Consider the following 23,593-nt stretch of genomic DNA (forward strand, 5'->3'; position numbering starts at 1 on the left):
CCACAAGGAGATTCTAATGCCATGCTTCCTGTACACCCAGCAGAGCTATGAGACAAATAAACCTCTTTTCTTTATAAATTACAAAATTCCAGGTGTTCCTTTATAGCAGCACAAAACAGACACACATAATTCTAGGTTCTTTTTACAAACACCAAGATTCAGACATTTTAGTGGTTTAAAATTAGGGTAAAGAGTCTCATTGCCATTATTCTCTTTAATGAACAAAACGTTAGTTGTGAAATTATATATTTTAATGAAATATAGTGTAGCCATTTACATTAATTTGTACATTGTAAACATGTTAATGTTTCTCTGTATTGTCTCTTCCACCAAAAATGTTATCTTTGACTGATTCACCCTCTCCGAATACTGGGAGAGAAGGGTTATTTTGGTTTGGTTTTAATTTGTCAATCCCACAAGCAGTTTTCAGCAGATAGAAGGTATTTGGAGATTTTCTTACATGAAACAATCCAAGCATACACTTTATAATTTTTTTTACTATGTTTAAATTGATGTATACAACACATGCAGAAAAGTACACAGATGATAAGTATATAATCTGATTCATTTCTACAAAGTAAATACATCTATGTGTTTGCCACCAAAAATCTAGGTCCTACACTAAAAAATAGAACATTACCAGCATCCCAGAAGCCCCAGATCAAAGTAGGCATATGCAAGAAATATTTTGTAATTTCCAATGTAATTGCTTCTTTGATCCATGGGTTATTTAGAAATACGTTGCCTAATTTTCCAACATTTGGGAATACATTTGGGAATTTCCTAGTTACATTCCTGTTATTTACTTACAGTGTAATATCACTGTGAAGAGATATATATACATATATATATGTATATGTATATATACAATCTGCTTTGTGTTTTCTGGATTAAAAAAAGTTTGTTATATCAGTTGTTGAGAATTGTTACAGTCTCCTACTATAATTATAGATTGCTCTATTCTTCACTTAGTTTTGTCAATTTTTGCTTTACTGAAATTAAGTCTATGATTTAAGGTGAATACAAATTTAGAACTGTTATATCTTTTTAGTGGATTGACCCTTTTATCATTATAAAATATCCTGTTTACCGCTGGTAATATTTTTTGCCTTAAATCTACATTACCTCATATTAAACAATTTGGATGATATATTTTCAGATATTTTTGGCATTTCCTGAACAATGCAAGCTTCTTAGAAGCTTCAAATCCAATGATACCCTCTCCATATTTTATATCATTGTTTTGGGGGGGTGGTATTTTAATTCTGCATAAATTTTAAACTCAAAACAATATTAGTAGCATCATATTTTAATATCACTTTATAGGGTCAATATTAATTTATATGTCTACTTTTTCCTCATTACTTTCTGAATTTTCTTGCTTCAATCTAGGATCATTTTTCTTTGCCTAAAGAATTCACTTGTATTTTGTTTTCTGCAAATCCGTCATTTTTTGTCTAAAAATGTCTTTATTTTGTCTTTACACTGAAAGGATAATTTTACTTGGTATAGAATTTCAAAATTGCTGTAATTTGCTTTAATTCTTAAAAAATGTCACTCCATTTATTCTGCCTTCCATAACTTTTATTCAACTTCTATTTTAGATTCAGGGGGTACATAAGTAGGTTTGTTACATGGATATATTGCATGATGCTGATGTTTGGGGCATGATTGATTCCATCACCCAGGTAGTAAACATAGTACCCAATAAATAGTTTTTCAACCCTTGCCCCATCCTTCTTTACCCCCTCCAGTGTCCCTAGTTCTATTGTTGCCATCTTTATGCCCATGTGTACCTAATGTTTAGCTACCATGTATGTGTACATGTAGTATTTGGGTTTCTGCTTTTGTGTTAGTTTGCTTAGTATAATGGCCTCCAGCATCACTCATTGTTGCTGCAAAAGACAGGATTTTGTTCTTTTTTTATTGGTGTAGAGTTTTACATGGTTTGTATGTACCACATTTTATTTATCCAGTCTACCATTGATGGGTATCGAGGTTGATTCCATATAACAAACCTACTCATGTACCCCCTGAATCTAAAATAAAAGTTGAATAAAAGTTATGGAAGGCAGAATAAATGGAATGGCATTTTTTAAGAATTAAAGCGAATCACAGAAATTTTGAAATTCTACACCAATCATGGGCATTGAGGTTGATTCCATGTCTTTGCCATTTTGAATACCACTCCAATGAACATCTGAGTATAGGTTTCTTTTTGGGAAAAATGATTTATTTTCCTTTGGAGATATACCCAGCAATGGGATTGCTTGGTTGAATAGTAGTTCCATCTTTAGTCCTTTGAGAAATCTTCAAACTGCTTTCCACAGTAGTTGAACTAATTTATATTCCCACCAACAGTGTATAAGCATTCTCTTATCTCTGCAGCCTTGCCAATATCTGTTATTTTTCTTTTTTTAATAGCCATTCTGACTTGAGATGATATCTCATTGTAACTTTGATTTGCATTTCTCTGATAATTAGTAATGTTGTATGTCTTCTTTTCAGAACTGAACAAAATAAAGATCTATACAGGAAAACCAAAGTTTATTTTTTGTAAGGATAAAAAAGATCAATAGACTACTAGCTAGATTAACAAAGGAAAAAAGGGAGAAGATTCAAATAAGCACTATCAGAAACAACAAAGATGACATTACAACCAATCCCACAGAAACACAAAAGTTACTCAGAGATTATTATGAACACCTCTATGCACACAAACAGAAAATCTAGAGAAAATGGATAAATTCCCAGGAATGCACAACCTTCAAATATTCAATCAGGAAGAAATAGAAACCCTGAACAGAACAATAACATGTGCCAGAATTGAATCAGTCATTTTAAAAGACTACCAACCAAAAAAGGCCCAGGACCAGGTGGATTCACAGCCAAATTCTACCAGACATATGAAGAAGAGCTGGTACCAATCCTTACTGAAACTATTCTAGAAAATAAAGGAGGAGGACTGCTTCTCAGCCCTTTGGCTAAGATCAAGTGAAAATCAAGGAGGAGAGACTCCTCCCTAATTCATTTGATGAAATCAGCATCAGCTCAACATTAAAGCCCAGCAAAGACATGATAAAAAAAGAAAACTACAAACTACTATCCCTGAAGAACACAGATATGAAAATCCTCAACAAATACTAGCAAGCTGAAATCCAGCATCACATCAAAGTGTTAATTCACCACAATCAAGCAGGTGTTATTCCTGGGATGCAAGGTTGGTTCAACATCCATAAATCAGTAAATGTGATTCACGACATGAACAGAATTAAAAACATAAATCATATGATCATCTTGATAGACACAGAAAGATTTCAGTAAAATCCAACATCCCTTCATGATAAAAACCCTCAACAAAGTAGGCATTGAAGGAATGTATCTCAAAATTATTGGCACCATCTGTGACAAACCCACAGCCAACACCATAATGAGTGGGTGAAAGCTAGAACAATTCCCCTATTCTCCTTAATAACTAGAACAAGACAAGGATGCCATTCTAACCACTCCTATTCTACTGAGTACTAGAACTCCTAGCCAGACAAATCAGGCAAGAGAAAGAAATAAAATGCATCCAAATAGGAAAAAAAGTCAAATTATCTTTCTTTGCTGATGACATGATTTTATATCTAGACAACCCTAAAGACTCCATTTAAAGGCTCCTAAAACTGATAAACAACTTCAATAAAGTTTCAAGATACAAAATAAAAGTACAAAAATCAGTACTATTTCTATACACTGATAATATTCAACCTGAGAGCCAAATTAAGAACAAAATCCTATTTACAATAGCAACAACAACAAAAAAATACCTAGGAATACATCTAGCCAAGGGGGTGAAAATTTTCTGCAAGGAGAACTACCAAACACTGCTGAAAGAAATCAAAGATGACACAAACAAATGGAGAAACATTCCATGCTCATATATTGGAAGAATCAATATCATTAAAATGAATATACTGCCCAAAGCAATCTACAGATTTGATGTTATTCCTTGCAAACTGCCAATGTCTTTTTTCACAGAATTGGAAATATCAATCCTAAAATTCATATGGAACTTGAAAAGAGCCCAAATGGCTAAACGATCCTAAGCAAAAATAAAAGTCAGACTTCATCACATTACCCAACTTCAAACTATATAACAAGGCTACAGTAACCAAAACAGCAATGGTACCAGTATAAAAACAGGCTCATACACCAATGGAACAAAATAGAGAGCCCAGAAATAAACCCATATCCCTACAACCAATCAACCAACCAACTGATCTTTGACAAAGTCAACAAAAATAAGCAATGAGGAAAGGACTTTCTATTCAATAAATGGTGCTGGGATAACTGGCTGTGCATATGCAGAATGAAACTAAACCTCTATCTTTCACTGTAAACAAAAATAAACTCAAGATGGATTAAAGATTTAAATGTAAGACCTAAAACTATAAAAATCCTAGAAGAAAACCTAAGAAATACCCTAATGGACATGGCCTTAGCAAAGAATTTTGACTAAGTCCTCAAGAACAATTGCAACAAAAAAACCTCCAACATTTACAAATGGGATGTGATTCAACTAATGAGTTTCTGCACAGCAAAAGAAACTGTCAACAAAGTAAACAGACAGCTTACAGAATGGCAAAAAAAAAAACTTGCAAAGTATGCATGCAACAAAGGCCTACTATCCAGAATGTAGACAGAACTTAAACAATCCAACAAGCAAAAAAAATGACCCCATTAAAAAGTGGGCAACAGACATAATTTGTGTTGAATGAAGTCTGCATTTTATGTCTTTTTCTTTAAAGGTTAAATGTCTCTTTTTTCTTCTGTCTATATTTAAAATTTTTACTTTTATCTTTTAACAGTTTTACTATGTTTTACCTATGTGTAGTTTTATTTTATTTTATTCTTGTTGGGGTTTGTCAAGTTTATTGTTTCTGTGGGTTAGTGTTTATCAGTTTTAGAAAATTCTCAACCATTATCTCAGCGAACATGACTCCTACCTTATTCTGCACTTCCCTTCTATCTGGGCTCTTGGCTGCTTAGGGCTTCATAACCTCAGTTACTCTAAAATCCCTTCTGGGATATTTTTAAATCATTTTATGCACATTATCTGGTTCTCTGCAAAAGGATCAATCTGATCTAAGCTAATCCTCCATAGCCAGAAGGAGAACATCCCCGTTTGAGGTGATACTTCTTATACTGTCATAATCCTAGCCATAGACTGAACACATAATATACTTATTTTTACTTAGACATAGTCACATATGTGAAATGTGAGCCAAATTTAAGTTATGTAAAAAGATAATAATGTTGAGCCTATTAAGTAACATTAAGATCTGCAGTCCTAGTCACCAGTTGCCCTAAGTGAGAGTACTAGGGCAATGTGACCTCACTATAAACCCGTGCATGCTTGAGGGGCTGCCAAATCACAAGCTGGAGTCAGTGGGGGGTGGGAGGGGGTAAAGCTACTGCCAGAAATCCCAAGCCAAAGGGAAGCAGAGGAAGGGAGCCAGGTGAAGGAAGTAGCAGCGTGGCATATTGTGTATTGGAAGATATCCAGAAGCACTTTGGGGCCCTCACAGGCTACTTCCTCATCCACAGATGATACCCAGGCCTCCCTCTAAAAGCAGATAACTTTTTGTGTCTAAGCTTCAGATTTCTTAAAATGATAATCATGAATAATTATATTACAGGCTGGTAATGACTGTAAATAATAAATATGCAAAGTGCTTAGAATAGTGTCTTATTCAGGGTAATTGCTTAATAAGTCAGCTATGATAATGGTGATAGTGATAATAATTATTGTGTTTAAGATATTGATGATTGTGATGATGGTCATAAAGTAAAAATGATTATCATTACCATGAAGAAAGAGGATATCATATATATAGTATATGTATATATACACTCCCCCAAAAAGTCAGCTATGACATGACAGAATGCTAGACTTCCCCTTTTACCTTGACCTTAATATACAGTAAGTATGTATGCTTGAACCATCCCAAAACCTTCCCTCCCAACCCCTGGTCCATGGAAAAAAATGTCTTAAATATACATACATACTGTATATTAAGGTCAAGGTAAAAAGGGAAGTCTGATATTTACTGCTTTTAAATATGTTTTCTACTGTAAAGTGGTCATGCTTCTGAGCCTCTATCTGATTGAACTGGCTGAGTTCTATATCAGGGCACCAGTGCCCTAAACAGGGTCTCTGTGACATAGGACATGCCTCCACCTGGGTTCTACTCCACTTTCCCTCATACAAGTAATGTCAAGGAGAGAATAAAGCTAACTTATTGTCATAGAGCTTGAAGAAGGACTTCACACTAGTTTTTATAGCTCAGAGTTTCAGGATGATTAATAAGCAAGGACTCCAAGGAGAAACAGCACATACTTCAGAAGAGACACATTCCTCATTGTGGCTCTTGCTGGAAAATATTGATAATAGAAAGCAATTTTCCCAAGGTTCATTCACATAGGACTAGATGGATTTTTTGCTTCAAGTTCACTGCATTTTTAGAAGGGAATAATTAAAAAAAAATCTAAGTGCCACTTAAACCAAATGGGTAAAGCACCTAGATAGAAAATGATAAAATCAGGACACTGCCATTTCTATTCATGAATGCCTTTTCTGTCTTCATTTAACTTAAGATATTTTTGATTGTAGAGAAGTAAAACATGCATAAAATACCAGCCTTTTCAGCAAGTGATAGGCAACTTTGTTGATACAAATGGATTTGATGATTACTTTTCAAGCTGTAGATAAAGACAGAATTGATGGTGACAGGGAAGAGATGGAACCCATATGGGAAAGGCTGAGGAAATAAACTTGTCCAGGATGTATTTCTATGCTTTTTTATGTACAAAGAAATATACAAACATAGAAATATATATATACACATAGTATATATGTATAATGTGTATATTACATATAAATATATATATCTGTGTGTACACATACATGTACACACAGAAGGAAAATATCTTTTAAATTGAGAGAAGAATAACAGTTTTCCCCTAATCTGGCTGAGGTTAAGATTCTAGCAAATATGGGCTCCCATTCATAAGTAAACTTGTCCCAGTGAAGACAGAGGAAATTGTCTAAGAAAGCCAAAGGGTCTTCCACTGAGGTGGAACAGAGTGACATGGGTTAGGGGCCCCATGCAGCTGAGGATTCTTCATCAAAGTGAGTTGTGCAATAAATGTGCACTAGAGTAAAATTACGTAAGCCTCAAAGTCTCCTCTGAACCACCACTGTCTTTCCAGACTTGAGGAATCTCACTTTCCTCTCTCATACAACTCCCATGGTTCTCTACTCAATAGCATCTACTATGTCCCTTTTTTTCTAGTTTAATCCTCCCAGAGACCTAGAGTTTTCAAAGACAGAGGCAGATGATGGGAGAAAACGTCCTAGAGCAGCGGTTCCCAACTGTATTGGTCTGTTCTCATGCTGCTAACAAAGACATACCCAGGACTGGGTAATTTATAAAGGAAAGAGGTTTCATTGAGTCATAGTTTAGCATGGCTGGGGAGGCCTCAGAAAACTAACAATCATGGCAGAAGGGGAAGCAAACAGATCCTTCTTCATGTGGTAGCAACAAGGAGAAGTGCCAAACAAGAGGGGGAAAAGCCCTTTATAAAACCCTGAGATTTCAAGAGAGCTCACTATTATGAGAACAGCAGCATGGGGGTAACGACCCCTATGATTCAATTACCTCTCATGGGCTCCTTCCCACAACATATGGGGATTATGGGAACTACAATTCAATAGGAGATTTGGGCGGGGACACAGCCAAACCATATCATCAACATTTCTGGCACGAGGAACCAGTTTTGTGGAAGACAATATTTCTGTGGACCTGGGGTGGGGGTTGGGGCAAAGGTTTCAGGATGATTCAAGTGCATCACATTTATTGTGTGCTTGATTTCTATTATTACATTGTAATATTTAAATAATTATACAACCTCACCATAATGTAGAATCAATGGGAGTCCTGAGTTTGTTTTCCTGGAACTAGATGGTCCCATCTAGGGGCGATGGGAGATAGTGACAGGTCATCAGGCATTAGATTATCATAAGGAGCATGCAACCTAGATCCCTCACATGTGCAGTTCACAATAGGGTTTGACCTCCTGTGAGAATCTAATGCAGCTACTGATCAAGAAGAGCCAGAGCTCAGGTGGTAATGTGAGTCATGGGGAGTGGCTGTAAATGCAGATGAAGCTTCCCTCACTCACCTGTTGCTGCTCACTTCCTGCTGTGCGGCCCAGTTCCTAACAGGCCTCTGACTGGTATGGGGGTAGAGGGTGGGGGTGTTGGAGACCCCTCTCCTAGAGGAAAGGAAATGCAACAGACTGGCTTTCTTCTTGGAATCCCCTCATCAGTTCTCAGTTTTCTCATCTATAATAAGAGGAGTTTGAACTATAATTATCTGAAGTCTGCCCCAGCTGGTTACTCTGGGAGTCTAGGATCTAAAATTGGGGAAAGACGACATGCACATAGAAATTACATTTTAAAAATCTATATAGTGTAGGAAAGAAGGAAGCCCTGAGGCTGAAGCAGTGACTATGCAACTCTCCTTACAGAAGCCATGTTCAGGAGACCTCATTCCCTTTTGCAGACCCTCATTCACTTTTTTCCCCTCACCCCTACTCAGAATCAGAGCTAATTTTTCTTAGGAAAGAAACTCTTTCCAGAAGTGAGGCAGATACAATGCTTTGCATTTTTCAGATGAGAAAGCTGTGAGTCACAGTTGAGTAATTTGTCCACAGTGACACAGTGTATCTAATAAGTGGTAGAGAGAAACAAGTAGGAGACAGAGACAGTCATTTGACAGAATCTCCCTTCCCTTGAACCCTTGTGTCAAGAGCTTCTGGGATCCTACTTTCAACACTGGTAGGCTGGACTGCTTTTGGCTGAGGTGAGTTCTCTCTAAAGCCATCTTGCTGACCATCACTTTATATTGGCTGACCTCTCAGTTTCCTCTCTGTAAATACAAGCAGCAATATCTGAGTCCATGCCTCCCAGGGATAGTAAGATAAATGAGATAATAAAGGTGAGAACCAAATGAGCTCCTCTTAATGATGGTGTTAAAAACCCCATGAGGTACTGTGATGTTATTAACAAAATGCAGAGGCTGCAGAGTTACATTTGGCCAAATTCTTACACCTCTCAATTTTTTAGCAAGGAGACATAGATATGAAATCAGTATTCCCAATAGTGAAACTGACTACAAGTGTGTTCTCATTTTTAAACAAACCTATTCTATGCAAATCCAATTAATAGAAAAAGTATACCAATCAAGGATCTATACATATAGCTATCTTTCACAAAACTATTCTAGTTTTCCTTATTAAAAAACTTCAAAACACTTCATGCTTTGTGGCATTTCAGTGAAATTGGAATTGTAAAATAATGATTTACTGAAAACCTTTTAAAGGTACTGATCTGGCATGAAGTGAGGTACGACTGAAGTTTCTAGACAACCATTTGAGATTTTGGCTGTGGAGCCCTCCCAAAAGAAGATTCTACCAGCCAGTTGCATCACTTGCAAATATTGGAGGCCGTTGCTCTGGAAAAGCAACTAAAAATAATACCTGGGTGTGGACAAAATAAGAAGGGAGCCATACTCAGCTATGAGCCAGTGTATTGCAAAGGGCCAGTGCTGGTCAAAAGCAGTGGGGCCATCATCTTGATTTAGACATACTGTCCACTTCTCTAATGCAAACCCACAAAATTGTTGACTCTTAGAGTGCCCACAAAGCTTCTGCTGTGACGATAGGACTTTTAGGGCCATGAAGAAGCTAACACTAACTTTTACATTTCAATTTTTACCTTTTCCCACATAGCTTACGCTAAAACTCTTCCCAACTTGTGGCCTGGAGAATGTATTTTTCTGGCATTACATTCCCTTTCCAACATTATTCCTGTCCCTCAACCTGTTCAGTAATCTTATCTAAAACTACTGGATAATTCCTTTGAGGGTGCTATCATAGCCCAAATATGTCAAGGTCTGTTTTTCACTAGTAAACAGTGAACATCTTCAGTTTTAAATGATAAGTTAATTCTACAACTTAATTGAGCCCATTTATGTTTATTCATTGCTGAAGTTCCTCTTAGATCTTGCCTTCTCTCACATCTTCTCTATAACCCAAGAAGGAACCCACCTAGATCTCCTGGACCCCCTCTTGCCTGATTTAGGTAGATCATCATAGGAGATGAAAAATTATCATCTCAAATTTAAGTTTTCAAGAGATGGTATCAAAACACGCTTTTGTCAACAAGCCCAATCATATTCCCACAACTTTTGAGTGCTCTTCCTGATTCTAGAGCAAACACACTGATTTAGATAGAGCACCATGTTTCTGAACCTTGAATAATCCTGTTCAGATTGAAGCAGGGGTGTATTAATAGAGCGCAGGTCTTGGAGTTAAACCACACCCGCCCTCACCCCCAACCCCACCACCCCACAACAGGCTTAGGAAGGTTGCTCAACCTCTCAAGGCGAAGGCGTTTGCTGTTTCTCATCTGTAAAACACCAAAGATTGCCATCCCCATCACTGTTGTGGAAGATCAGCGAGACATAAAGTGCCTGTCAGGATGTTTGGCCAATAGTGGTACCTGATTCAGTCATTCAGTGACTTTCACAGTCACCTTGAGCTTGACTCTCTCAAGAAAAGAAAAGAAATTAAGAAGCATGTGAGCCATTGAACCTTGACCACAAATATTCTAAGAAACTTATAACTCCTTAGCCATATGTTTCATTTCAAATCCAAGTATGAAAAAAGCTATGTAACTGAACTAAAAAGTGGATCTACTCTATAATTTATTGTATTATAATACATATGTATACATCTCACACACTGTGTATTTATACTTTAAGAGAGAAAGACTTTTATAAGACTTTTTACGTCAAGTGAGGGCATCTGTTCATTTCTGTAGAGCACATACTGCTTTGCTGCAGAGTGCAGAGAGAATGACTTTGCTCTTCATACCCTAAAATTGAGTCCACCAGGGATGAAACATAGGCGTGTAGTAGCAAAGGCTTCTGTCCAGCTGAGCAGTAAATCCTGGCTGCCCCTGATGATCACAGGGACTGGCTCCTGGTAATAATTTTGATGTCATTATCCTCTCCTAGAAATGCATGAATGGTTCTGGCCTTTAAAAACAGATTTAAGAGGATGCATTTATCTTGACCTTATCAGCCTTTTAAAGATCATGCCGTAGGGCCTGTTGACCTTTCTCTCTTAACGATGAGTTGCAAAACAGTGGGATAACATCAATGGATGAAAGGGAGAAAGAGTGTGTAACCAGAAGCAGCACCCATGGAGAGGAGGAGGTGGGACAGGGATGTTCAGGCTGACAAAGGAAACTTGCTTTAGTCCTGTGGGAATTGAAGAATCCCACATAAATGGAAGCACAGGAGGCACAAATGGGATTCCATTTCCATCTCTGCTCTAAATATGCAGTCCTTGGGTACTGTGATGGTTAATTTTAGGTTTCAACTTCACTGGAATAAGCAATACCTAGAAACTTGGTAAAGCATTATTTTTAGGTGTCTGTGAGGGGTTTTTCCAAGGAGATTAGCATGTGGGTCTGAGTAAAATAGGTGGGGAAGATCTGCCTTTGATATGAGGAGGCACCATTCATTCTTCCAAGTCCAGAAAAGGCAAATGTGTCAATCTATCTGCTGAAACTGGGATACACTCTTCCTCTCTTGTTCTTGGACAAAAACTTCAGGCTCCCAGCCTTTGGGCTCCAGAATTTATAGCAGCAACCCCTTTCCCCACCTGAGGCTCTCAGGTCTTTGGTCATGGAATGGGGATTGTCATAAGCTTCCTTAGATCTAAGGCCTTCAGTCTTGGACTGAGCCACACTACTGGCATCCCAGGGTATCCAGCTTGAGGATATCATGGGACTTCTCAGCCTTGATAATTACATGAGCCAATGCTTTTAATAAATCTCTTCTCATTTATCCATACATATTTTATTGATTCTGCCTCTCTGGAGAACCCTAATAGAGGTATACATCAAGGCATAAGTCAAGAAAAATAAGATATTTGGCTTATTAAGTGGTTGGCAATGACTTCAACTCTTTTTTTTTTTTTTGAGATGGAGTCTCACTCTCGTGCAGGCTGGAGTGCAGTGGCATGATCTCAGCTCACTGCTACCTCCGCCTCCTGGGTTCAAGCAATTCTCATGCCTCAGCCTCCCAAGTAGCTGAGACTACAGGCATGCACCACCATGCCTGGCGAATTTTTGTATTTTTAGTAGAGATGGGGTTTTGCATTGTTAGCCAGGCTGGTCTTAAACTCCTGACCTCAAGTGATCCACCCACCTCGGCCTCCCAAAGTGCTGGGATTACAGGTGTGAGCCACTGTGCCTGGCTGTGACTCCAACTCTCCAACGGGTAAAGCACAAACACATTTACTTAACTGCACCCAATCTTGTGAATTTTGACACTTTTAAATTATAGGTAGTGTTCACCAATTCACCACTGTATAATAGGAATAACATGGGATTCTGTGACTGTTCATGTAAAGGATTCATATAAAGCTCTATCATTTTCTAGTAGAGTTTCCCAAAATATTTTTTAAAAATATCAAGGGTTTCTAACATCTCAAGGATTAAAGACAATAATAAGTAAAGAGTTCTTCACACAGTTCTTTGGTGATGCCATGTGTTTAATTAATGCTAATATCTTCTCCCATTCCGCCAAATTTCCCTTTGCAATAAGTTGCTCAATCGATAAATCAAATGATGAAAAAAAGATACAGTTGATAAAAATTAGAAATTGAGAATGTCTGGCTTCCCTGAAAGTTTTGAGATCTAGTTACCGTGACCACATATTTAGGGCAATACAGAATTTTAACAGAGGGACCAAAATTTGAAATTGAAAGCACTCTGAAAAAATACAAGAGCTGCCATGAGCACAGTAAAGATCTCTAATACACACAAATAAAAATCGAGTAAGTTAAAAGCACCGGCTTTTCTGCCCTCTCAACCCAAGGAGGTCATATCAATGCACAAACTAAAATGCACAATTCTATGCTTACCCACTATCACTACAGCCCAGTGAATGCTTTAAATCCCAGACATGGTTAAAAATATAGCTGGTTATGTGATTTTCTATTAAACCTAATATAGTGGGATGAACCATAATACCTTACAGGAGCAGATGAACTAGTATTTCCAAGGCAACCAAAGGATATCAATATCACTTTATTATTATTATTATTATTTTCATTCTGCAAGGAATCTTCCTTGAAGAGCAATTCCTTTTATGCATTGGTCTGCTTGATAGCTTTCTGAATAACTGTAATCCATAAGGCTTTGTACCTCTTTTTGCATGCTGGAAACACTCTGACTTAATCTAATTATCTCATGAAACTTCACTCTTAAATAAAGCTTGAAGTAAAATTAGAAAGCAGCCTCTTTCTTTTCCTTTAGTTACTGTCTTCATGGTACCTTCCTCTTGGCCGGTTGCTCATAAGAAAATGGGCTATGCCTCTGCAGAGAAAGCATTCTTTACACTTCTCTCTGGCAAGGAGAAGTTGGGTTTGGGCCAAGTCGGGCCCCATGAAAAGAGAATAAAATATGACTGGAAACCTTCCTTCTGCATGACAAAGGAGTGGCTGGCTAGAAGCAAACATTTATTGAGCAAATATTGGAAGTCAGGCACGTTGAAAATATCACTGGTCTAAGAGATCTCAGATTTGCCAGGGAGAAAAATGGGCCAACATGGGATGTCAATATACTCCAATAAAGCCTATAAGGGTCAGCATTGATTCATTATCCAAACAGTGTGACATTTGAGAATGAAAGGGGAGCATCAAAAATTCTGCAAGGACAACTGACATAAACATTATCCTAATTAGGATCTAAATGTCTTGAAACACAAAGGAGAACCCTAATTGAAGTATACGTCAAGGCATGAGTCAAGAGAACTAAGATTTTTGGCTTACTAAGTGGTTGGCAATGACTCCAACTACAACATGGATTTGGAGGAAGGTGGGCCACCAGAGGTTTCAGAGAAATTTTTGCGTTGGGTCATGAAGGAAAAATAGATGTTGTTAAGTGGAGAATCAGAAGAATGTTTCATACAAAATGAAAGAGCAAGGACAAAGATATAGAGTAGTAAAATTGGATACTGTGGCTCATACCAATTTGAACCCAGAGAAAACAATTAGAAGATTTCATTTTTCCCCTTCATATTGAAAAAATACAAAAGACTGACAATGCCAAGTACTCATAAAGGCATAGGTTAATACTCCATGTATAGGTAGAACTAATTTGGAGAATATCACCGAAGTGTCTAATAAAATTGAAGATGCATATGCCCTATAATCCGGAAGTCAAATTCCTGATATAAACCCACATGTGTATCCAAGAATAAAAAAGAACATTCATTGCATATTGTTTATCATAGCGAAAAATTAGAAATAAGTTTTCATGAAGTGCAGAATGGAAAAATAAATTGTAGTAAATCCATTTAATAGGGTACTATTCAGCAGTTAAATGAACTAAAACCCAATGGATCTATCAAAATAAATAAGTCTCAACAAACATATTAAGTGGAAAAAGAAAACAAGCTACAGAAAGATATGTTCTATAAGATACCATAACAATAAAGATTAACAGCATGGAAATAGTACTACAAACTGTTTAATGTATACATTAAAAGGCTTGCATGGCTACTGTACATAATGCTGCAATGAACATGCAAGTGAAAATATCTCTTTTGATCAATTATATACAATAGGGTTTGCACTCCTAAGAGATTATTCAGCTTTTAAAAAGAAGAAAATCCTGCCATTTGCCACAACATGAATGATCCTAGAAGACATTATGCTAAGTGAAACAAGCCAGATACAAAAATACAAATATTGCGTGATATCACTTATATGTGAAATCTAAACTAGTCAAACTCATAGAAGCAGAGTGAAATGGTGGTTGACAAAAATTCAGGAAGGGGTAAGTGAGGAGGTATTAGTCAAGGGTACAAAGCACTTTATCCGCACTTGGAATATACAAGTCCTAGAAATCTACAGTACAGGATAGTGCCTATAGTTAACAGTATTGTATTGTATACTTAAATATTTGCTAAGATGGTAGATCTTATGTAAAATTTTCTTATCACACACAAAATAGTAGAAATAATAAAGAGAGCAGAAAGAAACTTCTGGAGGTGATAGGTTTATGGCATAGATTGTGGTGATGGTTTCATGAGTGTGTATTTATCTCTAAACTCATGAAGTTGTATATATTAAATATGTACAGCCTATGTCAATTATATCTCAAAGTTTTTTAAAGCTTGTGTGAGAATGCAAATATAGAGTCTTGGACAGTGGTTTGATCTAGGTAGAAAAGTAAAGAAGAGAATCAATTAAGATGTACATAGTTGCCTTTAACTGTGATTGTATCTTTATTTCTTAAAAGAGAAGAGGGAAATGTGACACAAATTGGCAGGTTTTTAGATCTGATAGAGCTGGGGGATGGTTACATAGGAGTCCCCTCTATTTTATGGGGAGATTAGTAGGGATCTGAAGCCAAGCTGTCTGAGTCCAATCCAGTCCAGCTCAACCACTTCACCAGTGCGTGACACCTTGGGAGAATGATTTTACCTCTCCAAGTGTCAACTCCTTTCCTATAAGATATGGCTAATAACAGTGCTACAATGACTAAATGAGTTAGTGTTTGAAAGCTCTTAGAGACTACAGGAATAAATAAGTGATGGTGAAATAAAAATAAACAATGTATTGCACAGCTCAAGTAGGTAGAGGACAGGAGAGCTGGGATGGGTGATGATAACCTTACTTCAATCTCATTTTTCATGACAAGGAAACTAAGGTTAGGGGAGTAGAATTAACTTTGATTACAAGGTAGAAGCAATCAGAGATATCACACTGGGCTCACAACAAAAGAACTGTATAACTGGAAGGCTCCTTGGTGATCCTACTGATAGGGACAGGAGGCAGAGAAATTCTAGCCAGAAAAGGGTGAGTCTCTGGTGAAGCCCCACCTTCAAGCTGAAAAGCCTGAAACAACAGCCCAAAGTGAGAAATTCTATCGCTGTTTTTCCACTTGAATGTTTCCTTTTCATAAACCACCCATGGCCCCACCATGCCTCATCCTGTGCCTATAAAGACCCCAGAGTCAGCCAGCAGAGAGGAGGAGCAGCTGGATGTCAGAGAGCAGCAGCTTGACTTCAGAGGGATGGCTTGATGGAGTAACTTCAGAGAATAATCTGGCCAGAGATGGCTAGACTTCAAGGGAAGATTACCTACCCTCTCATCCGTCCCCTTTTCAGCTCCCCTTCCCAGTGAGACCCACTTTCATTGGCAATAAAATCTCCTGCATTTACCATTCTTCAATTTGTGTGACCTCACTTTTCCTGGATGCTGTACAAGAGCCCAAGAGCCATGAGTGTAGATACAAAAAGCTGTCACACTGGCCCTTTGCCCTTGCTGGCAGAGGGCAGCTGCCTCACACAAAAAAACAAAAGACTCACTGAGCTGTTAACATTTAAGCCATCCACAGATGGCAGTGCTAAAAGAGCACTGTAACACATCATCTGGGGCTTCAGGGGTCACAGGCACCCCTACCTGGATGCTGCCGTGGGGCCCACATGGAGTTCACTCCTGCTGGTGCCGATGTGTCTAGTCAGTTCCAACACTCATGCACTCCAGTTCCTGCCTCGTTCGCTCATGCACTCTCTCCCATGAGGAGTTGAGGGCGGTGGGCTATGTAAATGAGGCATTCCTGTTGTGAGTCCCATGAAGGGGTCAGGGAAGTATCCTGCTTCACTAGCATTTAGTACAGAAGTTGACAAAACTTTTCCATAGAAAAACAGGCCTTGGGTAGGATTTGGCTCATGGACTCTCAGGCTGTAGTTGGCCAACACCTTGTCTAGGGGTTCTCAAATATTCTATGCATCAGAATCACCTGGAGAGCTAGTTAAACACAGATTGGTGGGCCCCACCCCCAGATTTTCTGATTCGGTAGGGGTGGGGCCTGAGAATTTGCATTTCCCACGAGTTCCCAGAGGATGTTGATGCTGCTGGGCCAGGGGCCACATGTGGGGGTGTCCACCGTTATAATGTAACTTTCTCATTTTATACTTGAATAGAATGAGGCCAAACTGGATCAATGAATAGAATTGATCCAATTTTGTTAAGTGAGATCAGACAGCAAGTAAAAGAATTTAGGCTTCATTCGAAATCTTGTTTATTTTAAAATAACATATAAAGTTACAACTGTATCCTGGGTGCTGTGCTAGGCTCTGGGTATATAAAGATAAATGTGACATGGTCCTTGCCTTCCAGAAGCTTGCAGTATAGTAGAAGAAATGAGATAATAGATGATACAGTATGTAAGACTCCTGGGAGCATAGGAAACATTGGGACCCCAGAGAATTACCTGGTTTCTTGAAGGAGGGGCCACCTGGAGTATCTTGAAGAATAAATAGTCATCCAACAGGAAAAATAGGCAGGTGAGGGGAGGAAATTCCAGGTAAAGGGAACAGATTGTGTAAGGCATAAGAGAAGCAACATGGCATCATGCTTCACAGTAGGAATTCTGGCTCTGCTACTTACTAGCCTGGGTCAGTTATTTAACCTGAAAACCTCAGTGTCTTCTTCCAAACATAGGGATAATAAAAGAACTGACCACCTAGGGTTGATGTGTGAATTACATAAGATAATGAATGTATAGTGTTTTGGCCTAGTGCCTGAAACACAATTAGTCCTTAATAAATATGGGCAATTGTTATTTGTGTTATTATTATAGCCAGTGATGTATCAGAGCATGATACATTCACAGTCATTAATGAACTAAAGTATGAGGTGCAGGTGGAGCTACTGAGGCGGGCAAGGCCAGAAAATGAAGGACTCTAGTCCCTGCCTGACTCAGGGAGGGCAGTGAGCAGAGAGTGGCAGAAGAGTGGCATTCTAAGGTCTCCATTATAATTGAAGGAGGAGAGAATGATTAAGACAAGTGATGTGGTAACCAAGAATTGGGAAAAGATTTTGAAGAAAAGATGATGAGGTCAATTTTGGAAATCAGTGGGATATCGAAATGGAAATGTCTGGAACTCAAAAGAAAGATCTTGGCTACCCAAATTCGAAATCCCTGGGTTGGCAGTTGAATAGATGGAAGTGAAATATCACCCTGCAATATTATGTAGGGAGAAGAGAGTTCACACCAATGCTTAAAAAGTCAGCATTGAGAAGTAGAAAAGAAGTAGAAAAGAAGAATCATGAGACAGCATCCAAGTAGCTAAGAGAGAATAATTTTAAGGAGGAGTTGCAGTCAACAATATAGAATACTCCAGAGATCAAGCAAGATAAAGATCAGTGAGTAACACCTGGATTTAGAACCAGGAGAGGCAACTTAGACCTCTGCTTTATACTAGGTGGAATGCATTGTGTACATTTCATAAAGAAATATATATTTGCATATAAGGTAAAAGGGGATAAGCAGAAATTAAGTCAAAGAGCAATTTTTCTCCCCATAATGAACAAAATACCCTCCTCCTAAAAACCTCAAGAATAAAGATTTGAAAGCTTTACTCTCACCCTCTCCCCAAGGACATTCCAAGCCCTCTGTGATCCCCAGATGACACTAGACCAGCCTCAACTCCTCTGACATTTTTATGAAGATTGTCTTAACTATGCAGAGTCTGTATTTTCCCAATACACACCGTGACTTTTCTAGCCTCTGTGCCTTTGGTCATCCTGCTCCCTCAGTGAAGAATTCCCTTAACTTTTCCTAAAATAAGGAAATAATTCTCTCATACCTTAAAGCTTGATTCTTGTTCCATACCAGACCCTCATTATCTTGCCCACCTACTACTATCCTCTGGCCCAAAACTCTTTATAGCATTTTTTTTTTCACAACCTACACTCCTTTTATTTACCTCCTCAATTCCTCAAGGTGAAAAACTACTCCCTCTCTGTTGGTGTGTATTCTATCCAATTGTTTCGTTGTATCCAAGTGCCTGGTATACAGAAGGCAGTCAATAAACAGTATTGAAAGGATGGAGGAAACAGGTATCATGCTTAAAATGCATTTCTAAATAATTCAGGACAAGCAAAAGAAAATTAATTAAGAAGTTATGCACATAAACTGAACAACTGAGTGGGATACAGAGAACTGAAGTTTACAGAGAGGATGTGGGAGAGGGGACGGCTTACGAAGAAGAGGAAAGTAACCAGGTATCTACTAGGCACACTTGTCAAAAGTAATTTTATCGTCACATAAACTTTAAAATACTGTTATCGTTCCCATTTCAAGAATGAGTGCACAGAAGCTTGGAGAGGCTACCAATTTTTGCCCAAATAGAGCAGCTTATGTCAGTACAAAATTGAATATGATTCTTACAATACTTCAGGATTCTGATACCATGTTGCTTTTTGGAATTAGAATACAGAAGACTAAACTGAATTAAACACTAAAGCAAGATGTAAATAGAGACTTGGCATCCATTAACTGATCTAGTAAATGGCATCTGTACTGCTGAGGCAATAACAGATACGTGTATAAAAAATGGATTTATAAAGGAGAGAAATCAGATCTGTCTCATCTACTTGCCTCATACAATTGTGATGAGAAGCAAGTAAGACAATGTATTTTGCAGGCATTTTGCAAAACTGGAACAACTCTCTGTATCTAAGAGACAATAAGTTATAGGACTCCTGACTTCCTCCCTGCTCTACACTCTTTAAACATTTCTCTTGCCAATTTTTTGCTTATCCTTTCCTTTTTGCCTTAATCATCAAAACATGATTGCAATTAAGACTTGGTGTTTCTCTGGGTCCTGTTTCGAATTATTTTAATAACATGGTATATTTCAAGAAGTATTTCAAATAGTGTCATAGAAATTTTGACTAGGGGTCAGAAGGCCTGTTATTTCTCTTGGCCTCACTTTCTTTACCTGTAAAGTGAGAGAACGGAATTAAATGATTTCTAAAATTTTTCCCAACTCATGCATTTTATAATTATTTACTCTTCTGAAATTCCTGTGATAAGGGAAGTGTAGATTAATTCTCCCCCATCTTGACAATTTGGTTCTTAGGAATCTGAGAATATCTTTATTTTCTTGTTCTTGATATGATTCCAAGAAAGCAAATACGTATTAGACAAATTTCTCTCTGAGTATTATTATTGTAGCACTGAAATCCAGGATGAGTAACTTTTTCCTCTAAATATTAGATTAAGTTCCTATTCTCACTGTTGACAGGGATTAAAAAAATACTTCCATTCCACACAGCACCTTTTGTCAGCTAGAAGCTGATAGAAAATTTCAGGGGAGAAGTGATCATCTTAAACAGCAGGCCCTGGCTTTAATTCAGGGAATGAAAGTTACATTGATTTTTTTTAAAGTGATCTGAAACCAGCAGGAATCTCTATCCAAAGCCCAGACAGATGGCTGAACCAATGGGCTCCCTGTGATCATCTCTGCTACCCATATATCATTTGGGTAGAAAATAAATGGGTTTTAAATTACCTTTAGTTCCAGATAGACCTAGAAATTAAATCTCTACACATTTGAAAAAAGCTAATACCACCTTAAGCTGCATTAATAGAAATCAATTTCTTTGTCATGGGAAGTAATTGACTCATTCACCCTATATTTAAGTTAGAATATTCATTTCTTTTAATCATATGCTAAGTGTAAAAGTAACACATTAGAGTTTGTCCAAAGAATAATGGGTAGTACATTAAGAGGGTCTGAAAGTCATGTTCTCTATAAGACAACAGAGGATTGTAATTCAGATAAAAGACGATTTAAGAGAGACCTCATAATGGTCGTCAATTATTAATATATAATACAGTACATTCTATGTTATTCAGGAGGACATAGCAGATAAACAGGAGGAAGAGATATTTGATTAAATGGTACAGAGAAGATTCCAAAGGATCAAGCAATCCTGAGTTAGAACAGGTCTTCTCAGAAGGTGACACTGACTAGACACACAATGTGTGAAGGAGTGGGCAAATGGCTATCAGTTGGAGATGATATAGCTGGGAAGTAACAAATATTCTTTATAAAATTAAGATCCCCTTTTTCCTTTCTTTTTTTTCTTTTTTTTTTTTTTGGAGTCATTCTCAAGTCACTTTCAAAATCAATAACAGAAAAACCACCATCTCCCCTGGAGGAAAGACATGGGCTCTCATCTTCATCTGTAAACATGGAACCCTGATATCAGGTTCCATAAATATCTGCTCTATTTATGAGTGCTCATGTTTGTTTTCCACTAGTGGTATCATTTTTATTACAGGTATTAGGACCCTCATATCCTTTTCTATGATAGCAATTTGCTCTCTGTTTTTCCTTGAAAGCCTTCTCTGCATTCTAGAGATGTTGAATGTAGGTCTTCAAATAGAGAATCATTAAAGAAACTTTCATTTCAGACCACCATGGAATGACAGGGATGAGATTACCCTCATGCCTTAAACAATTAGATAATTAGTATAGATACATAAAAAGTGGTTTTCAGACATTGGACAGCAGGCTATGCAGGACAATGATCCCTGAAAGAAGAGAAACAAACAAGATGACCCTTATAAATGGCCCAGAGCATCATCTGAAAAAAATGTTTCCAGATCAAAGCACAGAGAGGGAGAACCCAAACCGAATCCAGTAGCCTCACTGAGTGGAGGGGACAGAGTTCAGAGTTCGGAGAGACCAAGGCAGCTAGAAATCATGGTGCAAGTTACTGAAGAGGAAGGAACTATTCCAAGATGGACTGCCAGAAATGTGCAGATGGGTCTTTTGAGTCTTTGGCTGAGGGTGAATGTTAGCATGCTGGAGAGAAGAATACCCAAAGCCAGGGGAGAAAACTGAAAAGAGGTAATCACAACAATTTCTGAAGGTCACAAAGGGCTGGGAAGAGTTTGTATTCCCAACAGGTAAAGGGGCAATACACAGGTAAATAATACACACAACATCAGGTAGAACCCATGAAAGGGCATGGTCTTGGTAGAGGAGCTAAATTAGCCTTAGAATGATTTCTGGAACTACCCTAATGAAGCAAAGCTTCCAAGCCTACAAGAGATTCCAAGTAGCTTAACTGCATACTAGAAGAAAATCCAACACTAGAAAAGGAATATGACAAAATCCAGCAACCCAAAAAGTAAAATTCACAATATCTACCATCAATTCAAAATGGCAAGACATACAAAGAAGCAAGAAAAGATAACCTGTGCCCAGGAGAAAAACCAATCAATGGCAACAAAAGCAGAAACAACACAAATGATACAATTAGAAGACAGAAACATTGAGATTGCTATTATCATGATTTTCCATATGTTCAGGAAGTAGACAAAAGCATGAGCATGATTAGAAGATAAATGGAAGCTTTTTACTCCCCAGCTTTATTAAGGTATAATTGACAAATAAAAATTGTATATATTTAAGGCACACAACATGATGATTTGATACAGGTGTACATTGTGAAATGATTACCACCAAATTGATAAACACATCTATTATCTCACATAATTACATTTTGTGTGAATGTGTGGTGATAACACAAGATCTACTCCTTTCGTGAATTAAAGTATACAATATGATATTAAGTATAGTCACCATGCTGTACATTAGATACTCAGTACTTATTCATCTTGTAATGAAAGTCTGTACTCTTTGACGAACATCTCCCATTTTCACTGTGCTCTGCTCTTTTCCCTTCTCCAGGCTCTGACAATCACCATTTTACCCTCTGCTTCTATGAGTTCTAATTTTTTATTTCACATATAAGTGAGATCATATAGTACTTGTCTTTCTATGTCTGGCTTGTTTCATCTTATATAATGTCCTCCAGGTTCATTCATGTCGTGGCAAGTGACAGGATTTTCTTCTTTTTTACAACTAAATAATATTCCTCTGTGTGTGTCTGTGAGAAAATCACATGTTCTTTATCCATTCATCCATCAATGGACACTTAGATTGTTTCCATCTCTTGGCTATAATGGATAGTGCTCCAATGAACATGACACTGCTGGCATCTTAGAGATACTGATGTCATTTCCTTTGGGTATATACCCAGAAGTGAGACAGCAGGATCATACAGTAGTTCAATTTTAAAGTTTTTTGAGGAATATCCATACTGTTTCCATACTGGCTGTACCAATTTACATTTCCATCAACGGTGTATAAGGGTTCACTTTTCTTCTCATCCTCACCAACGTTTGTTATCTCTTGTCTTTTTCATAATAGCCATCCTAACAGGTATGAAGTGATGCCTTGTGGTTTTAATTTGCATTTCTCTTATGATTAATGATGTTAAATGCCTTTTCATGTACCTGCTGGTCAATTGTATGCCTTTTTTAAAAAAAACATTTATCTAGATCATTTGCACAATTTTAAATTAGGGGTTTTTTTGTTTGGGTTGGTTGCTATTGAATTGTATAAGTTTCTTATATATTTTAGATATTAACCATTTATCAGATGTATAATTTGCAAATATTTTCTCCCATTCTATAGTTTGCCTTTTCATCTTGATTTTTTTCTTTGTTGTTCAGAAGATTTTAGTTTTATGTAGTCCAACTTGTTTATTTTTGTTTGTGTTGCCTGTGCTTTTGATGTCATATTAAAAA

General features: G+C 37.5%; 1 protein-coding gene across 3 annotated transcripts in view, besides 1 other annotated feature; it reads right to left on the reverse strand.

The window, feature by feature from the left end:
* CA10 (carbonic anhydrase 10) overlaps positions 1–23,593 on the reverse strand; it is a 529,711-nt gene that overhangs the window by 388,757 nt on the left and 117,361 nt on the right. The gene's annotated exons all lie outside the window — the stretch shown is intronic.
* Positions 8,304–9,503: an enhancer, noted in NCBI's record as "CDK7 strongly-dependent group 2 enhancer chr17:50104733-50105932 (GRCh37/hg19 assembly coordinates)". NCBI's record gives its function as "activates an origin of replication core promoter dependent on BRD2, BRD4, P300/CBP, MED14 and CDK7 cofactors, with strong dependence on CDK7, by STARR-seq in HCT116 cells {active_cell/tissue: HCT116}" and the evidence as "EXISTENCE:reporter gene assay evidence [ECO:0000049][PMID:35650434]".

This window comes from Homo sapiens, chromosome 17 (assembly GCF_000001405.40).
Source record: "Homo sapiens chromosome 17, GRCh38.p14 Primary Assembly".
In the NCBI taxonomy this organism is placed as follows: Eukaryota; Metazoa; Chordata; class Mammalia; order Primates; family Hominidae; genus Homo; species Homo sapiens.